Below are 17271 nucleotides of genomic sequence, written 5' to 3'. Positions count from 1 at the left end.
TAAATGGATAGCTCCTTGTATATCATTTGATAAACTTAATTTAAAATCAGAAATGATTTTAAGAAATAGCTTAATAATTAAATGATCTGGAAATACTAGGCTGGTTGGATATCTTTGAGGTTAGTGAACATGTAGTGAGCCTTAATATAGTAGTAGGTCAAATGAGGCATCTGCATTTATGGAATTATATTATATGTACATTAATTTTTCCATGGCCATGGTGGATTAGAAATAGAGCAAATCACCAGCCAGCCTCCTGTTCTCTTCATTTACCATAGAGTGGATGACAAATTAGAGAATAAAAAGTCTTCTGTCAAACCCAAACCAATGAGGGCCTAGAATTTTGTGCCACTGCCTAGAACTGGACAGGTTTTTCTTTAACACAAAGATTTCTAAAACCTATGGCCCATTGATTTCAGAAAGTATCTAGTTTACATAATAAATTGAAGTTCTGATGTCCAATATAAGAAAGTAATAACACTTCTGTATCTATTTTTCTTTCATTTTTTTTTCTCAGCCTCAAACATGAAAGTTTCCCAGATAATCCAGCAATTCATTTCTCTTTTTATCAATTGAGGTATTTTTATTTATTTATTTTTTATTTTTTTATTTTTTTGAGACGGAGTCTCACTCTGTCGCCCAGGCTGGAATGCAGTGGTGCACTCTCGGCTCACTGCAACCTCCACCTCCTGGTTTCAAGCAATTCTCTTACCTCAGCCTCCCAAGTAGCTGGGAGTACAGGCGCTCTCCACCACGCCTGGCTAATTTTTGTATTTTTAGTAAAGATGGGGTTTCACCATATTGGCCAGGCTGGTCTCGAACTCCTGACCTTGTGATCTGCCCACCTTGGCCTCCCAAAGTGCTGGGATTACAGACGTGAGCCACCGCGACTGGCCAATTGAGGTATTTTTTAAATATACCTCAATTGGGGGAATATATTTATGAACTTGTGGTTTTTCTCCTGACATATATAGTTGGTATTTTTGCTCTAGATTTTCTTATATTTTAATGTTCCAACACAAGGGTTTTTTTTTTTTGGTTTTTTTTGTTTGTTTGTTTGTTTGTTTGTTTGTTTTTTGGTTAGGAGGGCAGGACGAGTTTTGCTCTGTCGCCCAGGCTGGAGTGCGGTGGCACGATCTTGGCTCACTGCAACCTCCGCCTCCTGGGTTCAAGCGGTTCTCCTGCCTCAGCCTCCCGAGTAGCTGGGATTACAGGCACGTGCCACCACGCCTGGCTAACTTTTGTATTTTTACTAGAGATGGAGTTTCACCATGTTGGCCAAGCTGGTCTTGAACCCCTGACCTCAGGTGATCCGCCCGCCTTGGCCTCCCAAAGTACAGGGATTACAGGCCTGAGCCACCGCGCCTGGCCACCAATCCAAGAGTTTAATTTCATTAGTCACAGTAGCACCTACATATCTGTGAGACAAATAATCTGTAGGCAGAGAGCACTTGGTGCATTACATAGATTGGTGGATTTCTTGCAATAATTTTGCAACTACAGGTTGGTTTGCTTTTATAACATTTGAGAGTCTAATGGCGTTTCCATGATGATGAACATGTTACTTCCTGGGAGAAAGGAAGTATTTGTGTTTGATGTTTAAAATTTTTTTCTGGAATGACAAAAGGTCCCTTCTGATCTCCCCTTGACTATAGGAGGAAAAGTGTTAACTACAACTTTTGTTTTTTATTGACCAATGATCCCTTTAGTGCTGATTATAACTAAGGAGACCATATGAATTATCTAAACTGGGACACTTTTGAGAGTGAAAGGGAGAGCCATATTACTGATTACTTCAGTACAAGTGTAAACCCTTACTCTTCTGGACAAACCAAAGATATATTGTCACCCTCTTCATGTTATTTTTATGTAGGTATACTAGTTCAGGAAGGACAATTGTCAGCATGGTTGGTCTTAAATACAAAATTACTTCCTCAAATAACTGATTGGTATAGATAATACTTTCTTTTTTAGTTAAGTGATTTTAATTTTTTTTTTTTTTTTTTTTTTTTTTTTTTGAAACGGAGTCTCGCTCTGTCGCCCAGGCTGGAGTGCAGTGGCGCGATCTCGGCTCACTGCAAGCTCTGCCTCCCGGGTTCACGCCATTCTCCTGCTTCAGCCTCCCGAGTAGCTGGGACTACAGGCGCCCACCACTACGCCTGGCTAATTTTTTTCTATTTTTAGTAGAGACGGGGTTTCACTGTGTTAGCCAGGATGGTCTTGATCTCTTGACCTTGTGATCTGCCCGTCTCGGCCTCCCAAAGTGCTGGGATTACAGGCGTGAGCCACCGCACCCGGCTAAGTGATTTTAATTTTAAAAATTGGCTTCAATCTTTAAAAACCTGATTTTTGATGGAAAAATCTTAGGTCCTTAAAATAGTGCCTTAGTTACTGATGAACACCAACATTGTCAGTTATCAGTGATTTTTACCTTAGTAACTTAAACACATGCACTCCTTGGGTTTTTGAGTCATTTTCTTTTTGACTTCTTAGGAATAATGAGAGAAGCAAGTCAAAACGAGTTTATGGATAAGACCAAATTATAATTTAGTGGCATAGCTTGATAATAAAAGAACATAAAACGGGTAATTGAAGATTAAATTCACTGTCTAGATTAAAGTATTTGACTGAGATGAAATGTCATAATGGTTTCCTTTTTTAACTAACTTGATCCTGTAGATCAACCGCATTTGGCATGGTCTTCAGTCCTTTGATTTACTGAAGTTCTTAACACTCTTTCAGTTTTAACTGTTTTAGAGCGTTTTAGTAAAAGTTGTTTGAGCTGCAAGTCGGTGCGTACATGAGGAACATTCCTGAGTCCTTTTAGTTTTTCTCTGCTGTCCTTTTCAACTGGTAAAGATAGAAGAATGTAAGTGGAGGCTAAGCTAACTGCCATTCAGATATTTTATAATCTCTTATTGTTATGGTAGCATGAGCAGTGGGGGATACCTTGGTAGCATTTTCTGATAGGCCACTCTTGGAAATTATCAACAAATTTTTTAGTTGGTGAGAGGTATCATGCAATAAGGAAAGTCAGTGAGACATTAACCCTGCCTGTTCTTTTTTTTTTTTTTTTTTAGGAATGCTTTATATTTCTTTTCAAAAAGATAACTGCGTGAGTGGAGATAGAAGTACATTGAGTGAAATGGTAGTGAGAAAAGCAGAGCTTATAAGCTTATGTCCTAGTTATTTGTGCTGTTTCCTAAACTTAATATTTCTTAATATCGTAATGTGGTGTAGGTTATATCTTATTTACAGTTACAGATTCATAGAACTGGAAAGTACCTTGCAGATGGTTTAATCCAATACTCTAATATTGATGGAGACTTCTCTGGCACAAGAGGTTAAATGAATTGGCCAAATCCACATAACCAAGTTACAACCAAGACTGGATTTCAGTATCTCTTTTTTCCTTTCACAGAGCTGAGTTTCACCCTGCTACCCATGTGTAGAATAAAAAAAGATACCTGGTTGTTAGCAAATATTTTTCTGTTACAAATACCATAACATTTTAATTAAACATTCTATATATGAAGAATCCCCAACACTTTTGGTGCCTACATACGTAATGATATGATGGTACTTTTTGTTTTCTGGCCTTAAATTCAGCAGTTCTTTGTGATTTAACTTTTAAAAAACTGAATAAAGTATTTTTCATTTTGGTGATGGTATTTAACATTTTCTTCATTGACACAGATCACATGTCACTAGTTCTTAAAGGACTCCTTTATGAAGTTCTTTTTTGTTTTTTTTGTGTGTGTGTGTTTTTGGTGTGTGGTTTTTTGTTTGTTTGTTTTGAGACGGAGTCTCGCTCTGTCACCCAGGCTGGAGTGCAATGGCACGATCTCTGCTCACTGCAACCTCCACCTCCCAGGTTCAAGCAATTCTCCCACCTCAGCCTCCTGAGTAGCTGGGATTACAGGCACCTGCCATCATGCCTGGCAAATTTTTGTATTTTTGTAGAGACAGGGTTTCACCATGTTGGCCAGACTGCTCTTGAACTCCTGACCTCAGGTGATCCGCCCGCGTCGGCCTCCCGAAGTGTTGGGATTACAGGCATGAGCCACTGTACTCAGCCTCCTTTATGAGATTCTTGATGAAGCTCTGTTGCAAACAAAATGGATTGCCCTTCTCTTGTCAGTGTGACACATTTTTGTGTTCATACCCATAATTTTTTAAAAATTGGCATGTCCTGCTTTAGAACTTTATTATAGAATTTGGAGCTTGAATGAACACATATGCACAAGGTGAAATATTCAACATGATTTAGTAGTTAGTTGATGTTACGTTACCTTAATTCCTCCCTCCCACCCACCCCACTTTTTTTAAAAAACGAGGTAATTTCTTCCATATGACTTTTTAAATTTTGATATGGAGTCTCTGTCACCCAGACTAGACTGCTGTGACGTGATCTGAGTTCACTGCAACCTCTGCCCCCAAACTCAAGTGATCCTCCCACCTCAGCCACATCAGCTCCCAAGTAGCTAGGACCACAGATGCGCGTTACCATGCCCAGCTAAGTTTTTGTGTCTTTGGTAGAAACGGTTTCACCATGTTGCCCAGGCTGGTTTTGAACTCCCGGGCTCAAGCGATCCGCCGACCTCGACCTCCCAAAGTGCTAGGATTACAGATGTCGGCCACCACACTCGGCCAGCACCATGCCCAGCCAAGATGACTCACTTTTTAAAATTGGTTTTTACACAGGCATTTCACTTGGTGTTTCAGAATTTAGTTTTGTAAGGTCTGTTTTATTAACAGTATTTTTGGATGCCTTAAGTCTCCTTAATTGGGTACTATAATGTAGTGTGTCCATCAAATATAACATGCCTGTGTTTATACTTAGCACCAGGTCTCCTGACCTGTTAGTACTGAACAATATGTTTTAAATAACTTTTTGCCTTAACATTATAACAATTAAATTTTTTAAAAGTTTGGTGTGCATGGATTAGAAGAATTAAATGAGATACTACATTTAGCAGTAATCAGAAACAGTCATTTGCATAATTTATATTAATATATAATAATGACTAGAAGAAGTTGAGATTATTAACAATACTTTAAAATTCTCAAAGTGAATAAAATCTGTTTTAAATAAATCTCAGGGTTGGTGTTCTTGCTGGCCTTTCCTCCCCAGAATTAAACTTACTGGATACAGTCCCATTCATTGACCAGATGAGTAGCTCTTTGAAACGATTGGGCAAAATTTCTCATTTGGTTTCTTGTTTCCAGGAATGGATTTGGATATATTGGCACACAGTACTCTAAAAGAAATAAGGTTAATAAAATATGCTGTTTATCTAAGGAGCAACTGTATTTTTAAAAATTACTAAAAGTTGACTTATTTAAAAATAAGTCCATCTAGGTTTGTGCTGCTTACAAAAGGTGTTTTGTCATTTTGGAATTTTTCATACAGGGAGTGAACATGGTATAAAAAGCTCATAGATTGAATAGTTTAGTCATACCTATTGGGATTGAAGGAAGGAATGTGTTTTAAAGTATAGAGTCTTGGGATATGTTGGGAGGCAGTTGTCTTAGTGAAAAGTTGACTGGATTTGGAATGCAGAGACCTGGATTTAATTACTGGCCCTTTCCCACTTACTAGTCACATGGTTTTTGGTAAATCACTTTCTTTCTCTGTGCTTCTGTTTGTCACCTGTAGAGGTGGTGATTCCTAATTCATGGGATTATTGTGAAGATTAAATGAAATACAGGTGTAAGGGCTATGTAAATACAGGGTGATGAGTATTGCTTATAGCCAGAGAGAGACCTAAGTGACTTCAAAACAGTTATATTTCATTGTTTAAATTACTGTATGTTTCACGGGTAATCTTTTCATAGAAAAACAGCTGATGCTAATCATATGCTGAAGTCAGAATTTCTGACTTATCTGAGATAACTAAAGAAATGGATTTATGACCTTCTCTTTTACGATGATGTTGAAAGATCCCAGCGGTGTATAAGGATTCTCTTTTTCCTCTTGCTACTTAAGCTAGAAATGTACCACAATGTTACTCACTGCAAAGTAGAATCTGGAGACCTGTTTTGTTAATGTTATTCTTCACTAATATTTTCACACCCAAAATGGAGATAGAGCTGTATTTGATCATTTGGAGTATGGTTTTCTGGTATTTTTGGCATGCCTAAACTTTAAAATGTTTGTTTGCACTTAGTAAACAATAGTGGCAGATTATATCTACCTGGGGCAGAACTTGTGGTTTTTAGATTTATTCCATTTCTTTCTTTTATGCCGCTTAGATAGTGAAGGTCTGCTTAAAATAAGACCAGGCTCATTGGGTGTGTGAGAGTAAAATTAGTTTACAAGGCATTTGAGAGCATTGCCTTGATTTCCATTTTCTTTGCAAATGTAATTATGTCTAGTCCAGGGGACCTCTGCAGGTATTGTAGCCATAGCTTACTCTTTGAATTCCCTTATAAGGGAGGGAGTGCCTTGCCAGTGCTGAAATCTCTTGACCCCCAATTCCAGCCCAGGGGAAATGCTAAGTTAAGGCAGAAAGGATGGAGGCTTTGAAATAAGTGTGTTGCAGGAGTATCATGGGGAAAATATTTTCCTTGATTGTCTCTGGCATATATATGGAAGGGTAGCAGGAAAGGAGACAGCAGCATATTATTATTATTGAAGAGGTAGTGATTTGGATTTGTTCACATGTTGCTTTATGAGTGTGTCTCATTAAAATTTTGAATTAAATAAAATTTAGAATTCCCTCTTTCATGGAACGGAATCCAAGCTCATCAAGCAGGAGCTGTTTAGGATTCAAAAATCTCTGAAATCAGTGTCAGGAAAATTTTGAATGGAGGTAAAATGTTTTGTCTCTAGTTTCTATGTAGGAAATGGTAGAAATTCTAAAAGGTCAAGAATGAATCTTGAAGATTCATGAGCATAGGAAAGACTTATCTATCCCATGAGTATTGAACATTGTAGAGTATTGAACCTTATTGTTTTATTTTTGGAAAACATAAAGGGGATGCAAATAGTGGGTTTGTAGAGCATGAAAAATATATTGGGGACATTTGAAACTCTCCCTATTTGGGATTTCTCTATCTTACAAAGAAATACTTTAAAGCTGTGCTGCCCAATATGGTAGCCATTAACCACTATGTGACTGTTAGACACTTGAAATAAGACTAGTGAAACTGAAATTTTAAGTTTTTTTTTTATTTTAAGCTTAAAAAACTGAAGTAGTGTAAAATGTTTTTCCACTAAACACAACTGTATTGTTTTGCTGAACTACATTCCATTTTATCTGTCGAAAATTTAGCATCCAACTTGTGATAGGCTGTAAGTGTAAAACACACACCAGGTTTCAAAAACAGTATTTTTTAATGTAAAACATCTAAATTTTTTTTTATGTTGAAATGATTTTTTTTTTTTTTGAGACAGAGTCTACTCTGTCGCCCAGGCTGGAGTGCAGTGGCTTGATCTCAGCTTACTGCAACCTCCGCCTCCTGGGTTCAAGCAATTCTCCTGCCTCAACCTCCTGACTAGGAGTAGCTGGGACTATGGGTGCCTGCTACCACGTCCGGCTAATTTTTGTATTTTTAGTAGAGACGGGGTTTCACTATGTTGGCCAGTCTGGTCTCAGAACTCCTGACCTTGTGATCCGCCCACCTCGGCCTCCCAAAGTGCTGGGATTACAGGCATGAGCCACCGTGGTCAGTCAGCTGAAATGATTTTTTTTGATTATGTTGAGTCAATAAGATACATTACTAAGATTAATTTCACATGTTTTTACTCTTAGTGCAGCTGCTTGGCATTTTGAAAAATTACATATATGGTTCAAATTGTATCTCTTTTGGACTGTGCTGTTTCAGAGAGATTACTAAGGGAAATGAACTCAGTGTTCACATTGGATTTCTTTCAGTCATTTAAATATCCACAATGTGCAAGGCATTGTGCTAGTGGCATTTGGCAGAAGTTTTAAAGGGACTGTAATTCTGGTTTGTTCCCTAAAAGAAATCTATTTGGGAAGAGAAGACACATACACTTCAAAAATATAAAACATTATGGAAGGCAGGAAGTGCCACTCTAGTAGCATAGACAAGTGCTATATGCAGAGATGGATGGAAAAATTGCTAGCTGAGATAGTAATAGCTCCTTAGGAGGGAAGATCTCGTTGGATCTTTAAGGGTTGGTGAAATAGGGAGAAGCTAAGAGGGGACTGAGGGGAATAGCAGTACATTGTGACGGTGGTAAAGCACAAGGTATGTTGGGGGAGGGGAGTATGGGGTAGAGGTAACCTAAGTGGATTGGTGTTGCCAAGAAAATGTTGTAATTTTGTGTCACTGGAGTATGTAGCTTACTATGACCCTAAGCCCAGAATAGAAGACCAAGAGACTTCACTACCCTTAATAGCATTTTAGTCCAAATGGTCTTTTGGAATCAGTCTCTTCTGGCTCTCACCTAATAAGGAATCCTCTTTTTAATATCCAGCTTCTGCTTGATTATCTCAGGAGACAGGAAGTTTGCTTGCTTCAAGAGACTGGTAGCATCTCTATTTTTTTGACAATTTTGTTAGATTGTTTTACTAAAAGGAAGAATTATTTGCTTCTGCATGTCTTTAACTATTGACCTTAATTTAACCCTATGGTTGTGCTCTCCTTCATGTTATTCCTCTCTAAATATTTGAAGATGGTAATTGTGTCCATTTTTAGTCTTTCTCCAGGCTAACTACCTCCAGGTAATTCATCCATTTCTTTTATGATGCTCCCAGGCTTCTCACTCGTGTTTCACTTACTCTACATGTAGTCTGCTTTTGTTTTTGAGACGGGATCTCCCAGGCTGGAGTGCAGTGATGCAGTCTTGGCTCACAGCAGCCTCTGCCTCCCAGGTTCATGCCATTCTCCTGCCTCAACCTCCCGAGTAGCTGGGACTACAGGCATGCGCCACCACGCCCAGATAATTTTTTTGTATTTTTTTTAGTAGAGACGGGGTTTTGCCATGTTAGTCAGGCTAGTCTCAAACTTCTGACCTCAAATGATCCGCCCAACTCGGCATCCCAAAGTGCTGGGATTACAGGTGTGAGCCACCGTGTCCGGCCTTCTACATGTACTATGAACAGCAGGTTTCAGTGGGGCTGTTACCTGCTTTTATTTGAACACCGTGGTCTATGAAAGCAACTTGTGATTCTCGTAGGTTTCATAGCCAGGTCAAACAGGCTTTTTATTGAGCTTGTGTTAGCCAAAAACTTGAGGTATCTTTCATGTGAATTGCCAAGACAGGTTCTTCCCCGACTGTGTACTTTTACTATGGGTTATTTTAGCTTGATAGCCCTTCATAAAGTGTCCGAGGTAGGATATTTACCATTGTTTTTATTTCAGCCCATCCTAGGAATCCACTGATAATTCAGAATAATATTTATTATATACATCTTCTGTGCTAACTCACAGCTTCGAGTTGTTTATGGATTTGTTTACCATGTCTTGGGTGGATTCATCCAACTGGTTCATTTAAAAATGCTAAAGTTTACAGGGCTGTTTGCAAGTTAACATTGCTTTGTAATCTTTGAGGGTGGTGTTCAACAACTGTGAATCTGTTTAACTGTATTGTCATCAAGCTCCTTACTACTCAGAGTATGATTCTAGGTTCAGCATCAACATCACCTGGAGGCTTAATAAAAATGCAGAATCTCAGGCCCTACCCCAATCTACTGAATCAGAATCTGTATTTTAACAAGATTTCCAGATAATTCCTATTACACTGGTCTATATTTCTTCTTAATAGGAAGAAAAACCTCAGATCCTGTGCAGAAATCAAGTCAGTAAGTCAGCAGTGTTATCCTGATGTCCCTATCAAAGAGGTTCTCAACCCTGACTTTCAAAATAGAATTACCTGTGGAATTTAAAAAATATCCATGTCTGACCAACCCCAGAGAAAGCTCCCCAAGTAATTCTAATGTGCAAGCCAAGGTTTAGAACCATCCCTATGTGAAGCAAATAAGGTTAAATAAGGTTAATCTTTTTGGGGGGGGGTTTGTATTTTTTTAAGTTGACCAGCAGTGAACTCCACTTCTTGTGAACATACTGTCTTCTACATGTTTGCAGTTTATCTGATAATGTATTTGCAGAATTTTCCCCTAGATGTATTGTCACATTTTACTGCTCTGTAGTTTGTAGATCTCACTTTTTTTGAAGATTGGATCATTTAGCATCTCTCCTGTTCTCTATGACATCTCAAAAGATTGTCATTAGAAATTACGCATTCTTGGCTTTTGATTTTCTTTGAAAAGTTGTTTTTTCCACTCTTTCCAGTTAGAAGATGATTCTCATTGTTGAATAAAATAGAAACAAAATGGAAGTTGAGTGACTCTTCCGTCTTCTGTTAATATACCTGATACACCCCCCTCCATACTCAGTACAAGACCCCTTTCTTGCTTCACATTCAGTGTTTTAAATCTTTCCCATATTTTTGTAAGTTTCTGTTCCTTCTGGGCTTTTACCTCCCTGATAACTTTTTTTTTTCCTTTGAGACGGAGTTTCATTCTTGTCACCCAGGCTGGGGTGCAGTGGCACGATCTCGGCTCACTGCAACCCCCATCTCCCAGGTTCAAGTGATTCTCCTGCCTCAGCCTCCCTCCCAAGTAGCTGGGATTACACGCATGGGCCACCACGCCAAGCTCTTTTTTTTTTTTTTTTTTTTTAAGTAGAGATGGGGTTTCACCATGTTGACCAGGCTGGTCTCAAACTCCTGACCTTAGGTGATCCACCTGCCTCCGCCTCCCAGAGTGCTGGGATTACAGGTGTGAGCCACTGCACCCAGCCCCCGATACTATTGTTAAAGAGTTTGTGCCACTGCTGTAAATGTCTTTGGCATGTGAGTTTTCTCTTTTATTTGGTTCATGTCCTTCAAATGTCAGAACTTAACCAGATATCTTTGCCTTCTTTGGAAGATTTATATTTTTCAAGCCTTTTAACCCTGCAGTTGTTTTCAGAACAATTTACCTATCCTACACAAGTGAATTTTGTCTTAACTTTCATGCATTAGCGTTCAAACTACTAACCGCTTTATTAAGAACATTAGTTAAATGTTCTTAGCAAATTTGAGAAATTATGGCTGACTTTTTTTTTCCTTTGTGCTTTTCTATATTTTTAAAAATCGGCTGCCTTTACCACTTCTAATACCAAGTTGTATTACTTGAGATTCATGTGGGAAAACTTGGCTTCCTTTTCAGGGTTTTTTTTTGTTTTGTTTTGTTTTGTATTTTTTTAGTGCCTGTTTTTTGTGCGTGTTTTATTTAAGCTGGTGATTTCTAGTGTCAAAGTTTCAAGTATTATAAAGTAACCATTTGTCAGAAGTTTATGTAGTATAATCTTATTACAGTTAAGCAATCTCAGTTATGAGATTAAGAAACTCCAAAAATATTATGATCTCCCCCCCACCACCACATTTCTTGACATACTCATCTTAATTAAACAAGATAGGATAGTTCTAAAAATAATGATCTAAGGAAAACAGTGGAGATCTAGGTATGCCTCTGTCTAGACTAAAATTTATTTAGGCTTAGCAAGCAGGCAAGGTTTGACAAGACAGGCTTCTTTGTGTTTTTATATCTGGAGTAAGACTTGACTTATTTTTCTCTCTAGGATTGAATTGTGAACATTCCGGCACTTCAGGTGTTGTGTGTGGGTGTATGTGGGATTAAGTCATAGTACCAATATAGACTACCCTTTTTCCATAAATTTTTTCGTATTGTCCTAGTCTGTTCAGGCTGCTGTAATAGAATATCATAAACTGGGTGGCTTATAAACAACAAAAACATATCTTTCACAGTTCTGGAGACTAGAAAATCCAAGATCAGGGTGCCAGCAGGTTTGATATATGTTGAGGGCCCAATTCCTCATAGACAGCTGTCTTCTCACTTTAACCTCACATGGCAAAAGGACAAAGGAACTCTCTGGGGACTATTTTATAAAAGCGTTAATCTCATTCATGAGGGCCCCACCCTTATGACCAAAGGCCCTACCTCCTAATATATTCACCTTGGGATTTAGGATTTCAACATGTGAATTTGAGGGGGACAAACATTTGGTCAGTAGCACATATGTTCATGGAATTTAGTTGTGTTCGTGGGGAACATAAGGGGAATCTGGGGTTGTAAGGTAAAGAATTAGAGGATGAACATTTTTGTTTGTAGTCTCCCTGTATTTTAGATTGTTGACTACCATTGTTTTTTATTAGTGTGCAGTTCATTGATGAGTATGTGTGGAATGTCTGCCAATATTCTGGTTTCCTTAAACTCGTACAAATAGTGAATGACAAGAATTTTTGGCTAAGTTTATGTATTACCTAGAACAGGAGTTGGCATCCTTTTTCTTTAAAAGGCCAGATAGTATAATATTTTAGGCTTTGCAGATCAAAAAGCAAAATTGAGCATATTGTCACACAAAAGAGAGAAACCAAATTCTCACAGTTTTTCCTGATAAAACTCAAAATGTAATAACAATAATTGAGTACAGTGTTTCGTGAGATAGGTTTACTAATGAGAAGAATGATACTCTTTTGAGGGTAACATTTTGCTTAATTGGGATTCATAGCTAGTATTCCTTATTAGTCATTTGCAAATGTCCATTTATTGCTGACTTAAATATTTAATCTTTGAAAATATCTTTTCATACATATAGGTATTGCTATCTTAAGCAATCCACAAGTGTATGATTTTAGTGAAGCATATATAGAATTTTGTTAGATTTTTATCTTTTTTTTTTTTTTTTTGAAACAGAGTCTCACTGTGTCGCACAGGCAGGAGTGCAGTGGCGCGATCTCTGCTCACTGCAAGCTCCGCCTCCCAGGTTCATGCCATTCTCCTGCCTCAGCCTCCCGAGTAGCTGGGACTACAGGCGCCCGCCACCACACCCAGCTAATTTTTTTGTGTTTTGAGTACAGGTGGGGTTTCACTGTGTTAGCCAGGATGGTCTCTATCTCCTGACCTCGTGATCCGCCCACCTCAGCCTCCCAAAGTGCTGGGATTACAGGCGTGAGCCACCGCGCCTGGCAATTTTTTATCTTTTAATTTAATTTAATTTTTTATGAAGATGGGGTCTCACTATGTTGCCCAAGCTCGTCTTGAACTTCTGGGCTCAAGTGATCCTCCCACCTCGGCCTCCCAAAGTGCTGAGATTACAGGTGTGAGCCACCACACCCCAGCCAGATGACTTTAATATTTACCTTTTGGCATATTACCACTGCAGAGATGTCACTTCTAGTTGAGGGTTAGATGGAAGCTCCTCAGTTGCACAGTTAAATGGATTTTGAAATAAGGAAATTTATTTTGTGCTTACATTGGGGTCTGCAAAACAGTTCTGGAACTGTAGTTTGAGCTCAGAAAATGTATGTGCTACAAATTTGTGTGGGAATGGAGCTCTCATTACTTTGTCAGGACATGAAGTATATAAAACAGCTTGACATTACATGTGATACCAATGTTGTTGCTGAAATGGCTTTACCACAGTATAAGTTTCATATATAAGTATTTTTTGCTTTGTTGTTTTAGGATGGATTCATTAAGAAACATTATCAAGTCTGCAGGAAACACTAATTTTCCAAGCTATTTATTGTTTGATAATAGTAATTGAGAGCGGTTCTCACAGAAAATAAATCCATCTTTGCCTTGAGCACAACAAATCACAATAAAACTTTACCAATATTAGCCCATCAAATGTTGTGTTGTAGAGCAAGACAAAATTTCTGACAAAAATTCATGGAACTTGAGCTTAAACCAGAGTTCATAAGAGAGAAGTTTATCATTAGTGCTACTGGTTCAGTAATATGATAGATTGAAATTTTCTTCAGATCACTTGATGATGAGTAATAAAATATATAACCATAAACGTTAAATACCTTACATTTTCATAAACTTTGTAAATTTGTCCAACTAGGTCTTTTTCCATTCCATATATATTTTTACCATTCCAGTAGTAACATATCTTATTATGAGATTCTGCTTCAGGTTTTGCTGAATTAGTTTTCTCAACTTTGAAAATATTCTCACCTATGATTATTTCATGTAGACTACACATAGGGGCTACTTCTGCAGTTCAAACTCCTTGAATAATCAACACTTGGCTCTTTGAATAAACAATAACTTAAGTAGTATCAGTTACATTTGTCAACAAATCAAGAGCCAAAGAGAAAACCACTCCATCATTTACCTTATTTTTCAGTTGATTAGTGACATTGCTTTTCAATATTCCCAGCTTTTTGGACCACTATACTTACCAAAAGTCCAATATTATGTTTATTTTCTCTGGACACATTTCTTCAGCTTCTGCACTCAAACATAATTTCACTAACTCACCATCAATAAACAGCTTTCCTCGTTTAGCCAATAAATGAGCCCCTGGGAAATTTACTTTGATTGAAGCCTCATTTTTATTTTTGTGAAGAAATATTTTGTGATGAGATTTCACTTTAAATTTTCTAACTTTTTGAACTGTAGTTTTCCTGTGAATTGGGAATATTGTCACTAGTGTTTAATAGTGTCAGTATATATTGTATTTAGTATATAGTATTTTTTGCATAATCATGCATTCTTTGCCATCTAATCTGATTTTTGAAAAACCCATCCTCTGCTGCACCTTTAAGCGTGACATTCAGAGTCCACTTTTCTCTTTGTTTGAGATGATGAGTGTATACTCAGTTTTTTTTAATGTCCAGTGTGAAGGCACTTGAAATGCTGTCATTATAGCTACATCACTGCAACTTAAGAGTGCACAGAGCAGCAGTCCAAAGCAATGGGAGTGCCACATACAGTCTGTCACAACTGCTCAACTCTGCCATTATAGCACAGAAGCAGCCATAGATAACATGTAAATGAATGTGTATGGCTGCGTTCCAATAAAACTTTATGAACACTAAAATGTGAATTTCATTGCATTTTCATATGTCACAAGATAGTCTCTAAAAACCATTCTTAGGTTGCAAGGAGAATAAAAATATGCAGCACGAGGCTGGGTGCGGTGGCTCATGCCTGTAATCCCAGCACTTTGGGAGGCTGAGGAGGGCAGGTCACTTGAGCTCAGGAGGTTGAGACCAGATTGGGCCAACATGGTGAAACCCTGTCTCTACTAAAAATACAAAAATTAGCTGGGCGTGGTGGCAGGTGCCTGTCGTCCCAGCTACTTCGGGAGGCTGAGGCAGAGAATCACTTGAACCCAGGAGGTGGAGGTTGCAGTGAGCTGAGATCGCACCACTACACTCTAGCCTGGTTGAGAGAGCGAGACTCCATCTCAAAAAACAAAAAATACCACAGTATGGCTGGATTTGGCCCAAGGGCTTTAGTTCGCCAACCCTGTCTGGTTCAAGGGCTGTAGTTTGCCAACCCTTGACCTACTCTTAATATAACAGTGCTTTTCAGGAGTTTTTGTTAGGAAATTTCATTTGAGGTCTGAAAATCCATCTCTAGACCTACATTCTGGATTTTCACATAATTAAAACTTGTATAGAATACATAGTGACCTTTATTTTCAAGATTAGTCTCTTTTCTCTTTTCAGGTATTTTCCACTTGTTCATCAATATGGAAAACTCAGATTCCAATGACAAAGGAAGTGGTGATCAGTCTGCAGCACAGCGCAGAAGTCAGATGGACCGATTGGATCGAGAAGAAGCTTTCTATCAATTTGTAAATAACCTGAGTGAAGAAGATTATAGGCTTATGAGAGATAACAATTTGCTAGGCACCCCAGGTATGCTTACATATATTTAAGGATTTATAAGTGTAAGTTGCTGGTTTAAAAAAAAATGCTTGAACCTGTTTTAAAAATCCATTTCTTTAGCCCTTATGAAATATTATTTAACATAGGGGATATGGAATGACATTTATTGCTGTATTTATTACCTGATTATATTTACTGATGTTTGGAATTACACTATATCAGAGAGATTTTTAACTTATGAATTATGAATTTTTAGCGAACTGAATTGAAAAGAATGGAGCTAAATCTTTTTTTTCTTAGTTAGCTTTATCTAACTTACTAGATAAGAATCCGAGTGTGGAATAGCTAATGGGAACTTAGTTTTTAGGAAAGACTTATTCTGTTATCTCTGATTTTCTGAATATGTCCCAGTTGTAATCCTCCAGAGCTAGCCTTGGGTAACATAGCAATTAGAAGTTTGTGCTTAATTATCTTTTACCCCACTAAGTCCCATTTGATCCTAGTTAAAAGTCAGTATCTGTCTTCCTCTTCATTTCTGTTTAATTCTACTTACCTTTGAGTAATTGCTTAGATTTTAAAAGGTAAGGTTTTAGCATGACTTTTAAGAGAGGGAGTGTGTTTTTAGCCAACAATACCAGGCTTGAATCAGAATGCTTTAGGTGGAGTTCTGGCCCTGCTGTTTGGTGTGGCTCCTGGCAAGCCAGTCTGTCGCTCAGTCTGTTTCTTAATTTTAAAATGCAGATAACAATATCCTCCTCTCAAAGCTGCAATTCTTAAAAATTACTTACTTATTTATTTTTGAGACAGGGTCTCATGTTGCCCAGGCTGGACTCAAGGGATTCTTCCGCCTGAGTCTCCCAACGAGCTGGCACTACAGATGTGGTACCACTGTGCGCCCAGCTTAGAATTGCCTTTGCCTTTTTTTTTTTTTTTTTTTTTTTAAGCAGAGTCTTGCACTTTCGCCCAGGCTGGAGTGCAGTGGTGCAGTCTCTGCTCACTGCAACCTCTGCCTCCTGGGCTCAAGCGATTCTCCTGCCTCAGTCTCCTAAGCAGCTGGGATTACAGGCACCTGCCACCATGTCTGGCTAATTTTTGTATTTTTAGTAGAGATGGGGTTTCATCATGTTGGCCAGGCTGGTCTCGAACTCCTGACCTCCGGTGATCCACCCGCCTCGGCCTCCCAAAGTGCTGGGAGTACAGGCGTGAGCCAAAGTTAGATGTTATATGCAAAAGAACTTTGTAAATTGCTTTTAATATGTTTCCAAAGAAGTGAATTTTTCCCAGGACCTACCTACTCCTTGGTTTTTCTTTTTGGTTTGAAAAAGTTTTCTCTTTTAAAAATATGATTTTTTTTCTAATCATCTTGTGTCAGATTACTGTGAGTCACTGATAAAGTATTTGATTGTCATACCCCTAATGTCATCTTTGCCCTGTGGTGTTAAATTTCAGGTGAAAGTACTGAGGAAGAGTTGCTGAGACGACTACAGCAAATTAAAGAAGGCCCACCACCGCAAAACTCAGATGAAAATAGAGGTATGTTTTGGTTTTGGTGGGGAGGTGGATAGACGATGGGATGATAGGAACTTTGTAATAGTAAATGTCAG

The 17271-nt window shown here is 38.2% G+C and overlaps 1 protein-coding gene across 2 annotated transcripts in view; it reads left to right on the top strand.

Annotated features, from left to right (window-relative positions):
* The window catches only part of RLIM (ring finger protein, LIM domain interacting), a 31649-nt gene that overhangs the window by 3119 nt on the left and 11259 nt on the right, over positions 1 to 17271 (top strand). For both annotated transcript variants that reach the window (NM_016120.4, NM_183353.3), the window contains 2 exons: positions 15506 to 15697; positions 17117 to 17200. In NM_016120.4, coding sequence (NP_057204.2) covers positions 15529 to 15697; positions 17117 to 17200 — 253 coding nt within the window. In that variant the 5' untranslated portion in view covers positions 15506 to 15528. The remainder of the gene's footprint in view (positions 1 to 15505; positions 15698 to 17116; positions 17201 to 17271) is intronic.

The sequence above is a fragment of the Homo sapiens genome, chromosome X (genome assembly GCF_000001405.40).
Source record: "Homo sapiens chromosome X, GRCh38.p14 Primary Assembly".
NCBI classification, from domain to species: domain Eukaryota; kingdom Metazoa; phylum Chordata; class Mammalia; order Primates; family Hominidae; genus Homo; species Homo sapiens.
The sequence above is the reverse complement of the archived record's forward strand: the minus strand, read 5'-3'. Positions and strand labels throughout refer to the sequence as shown.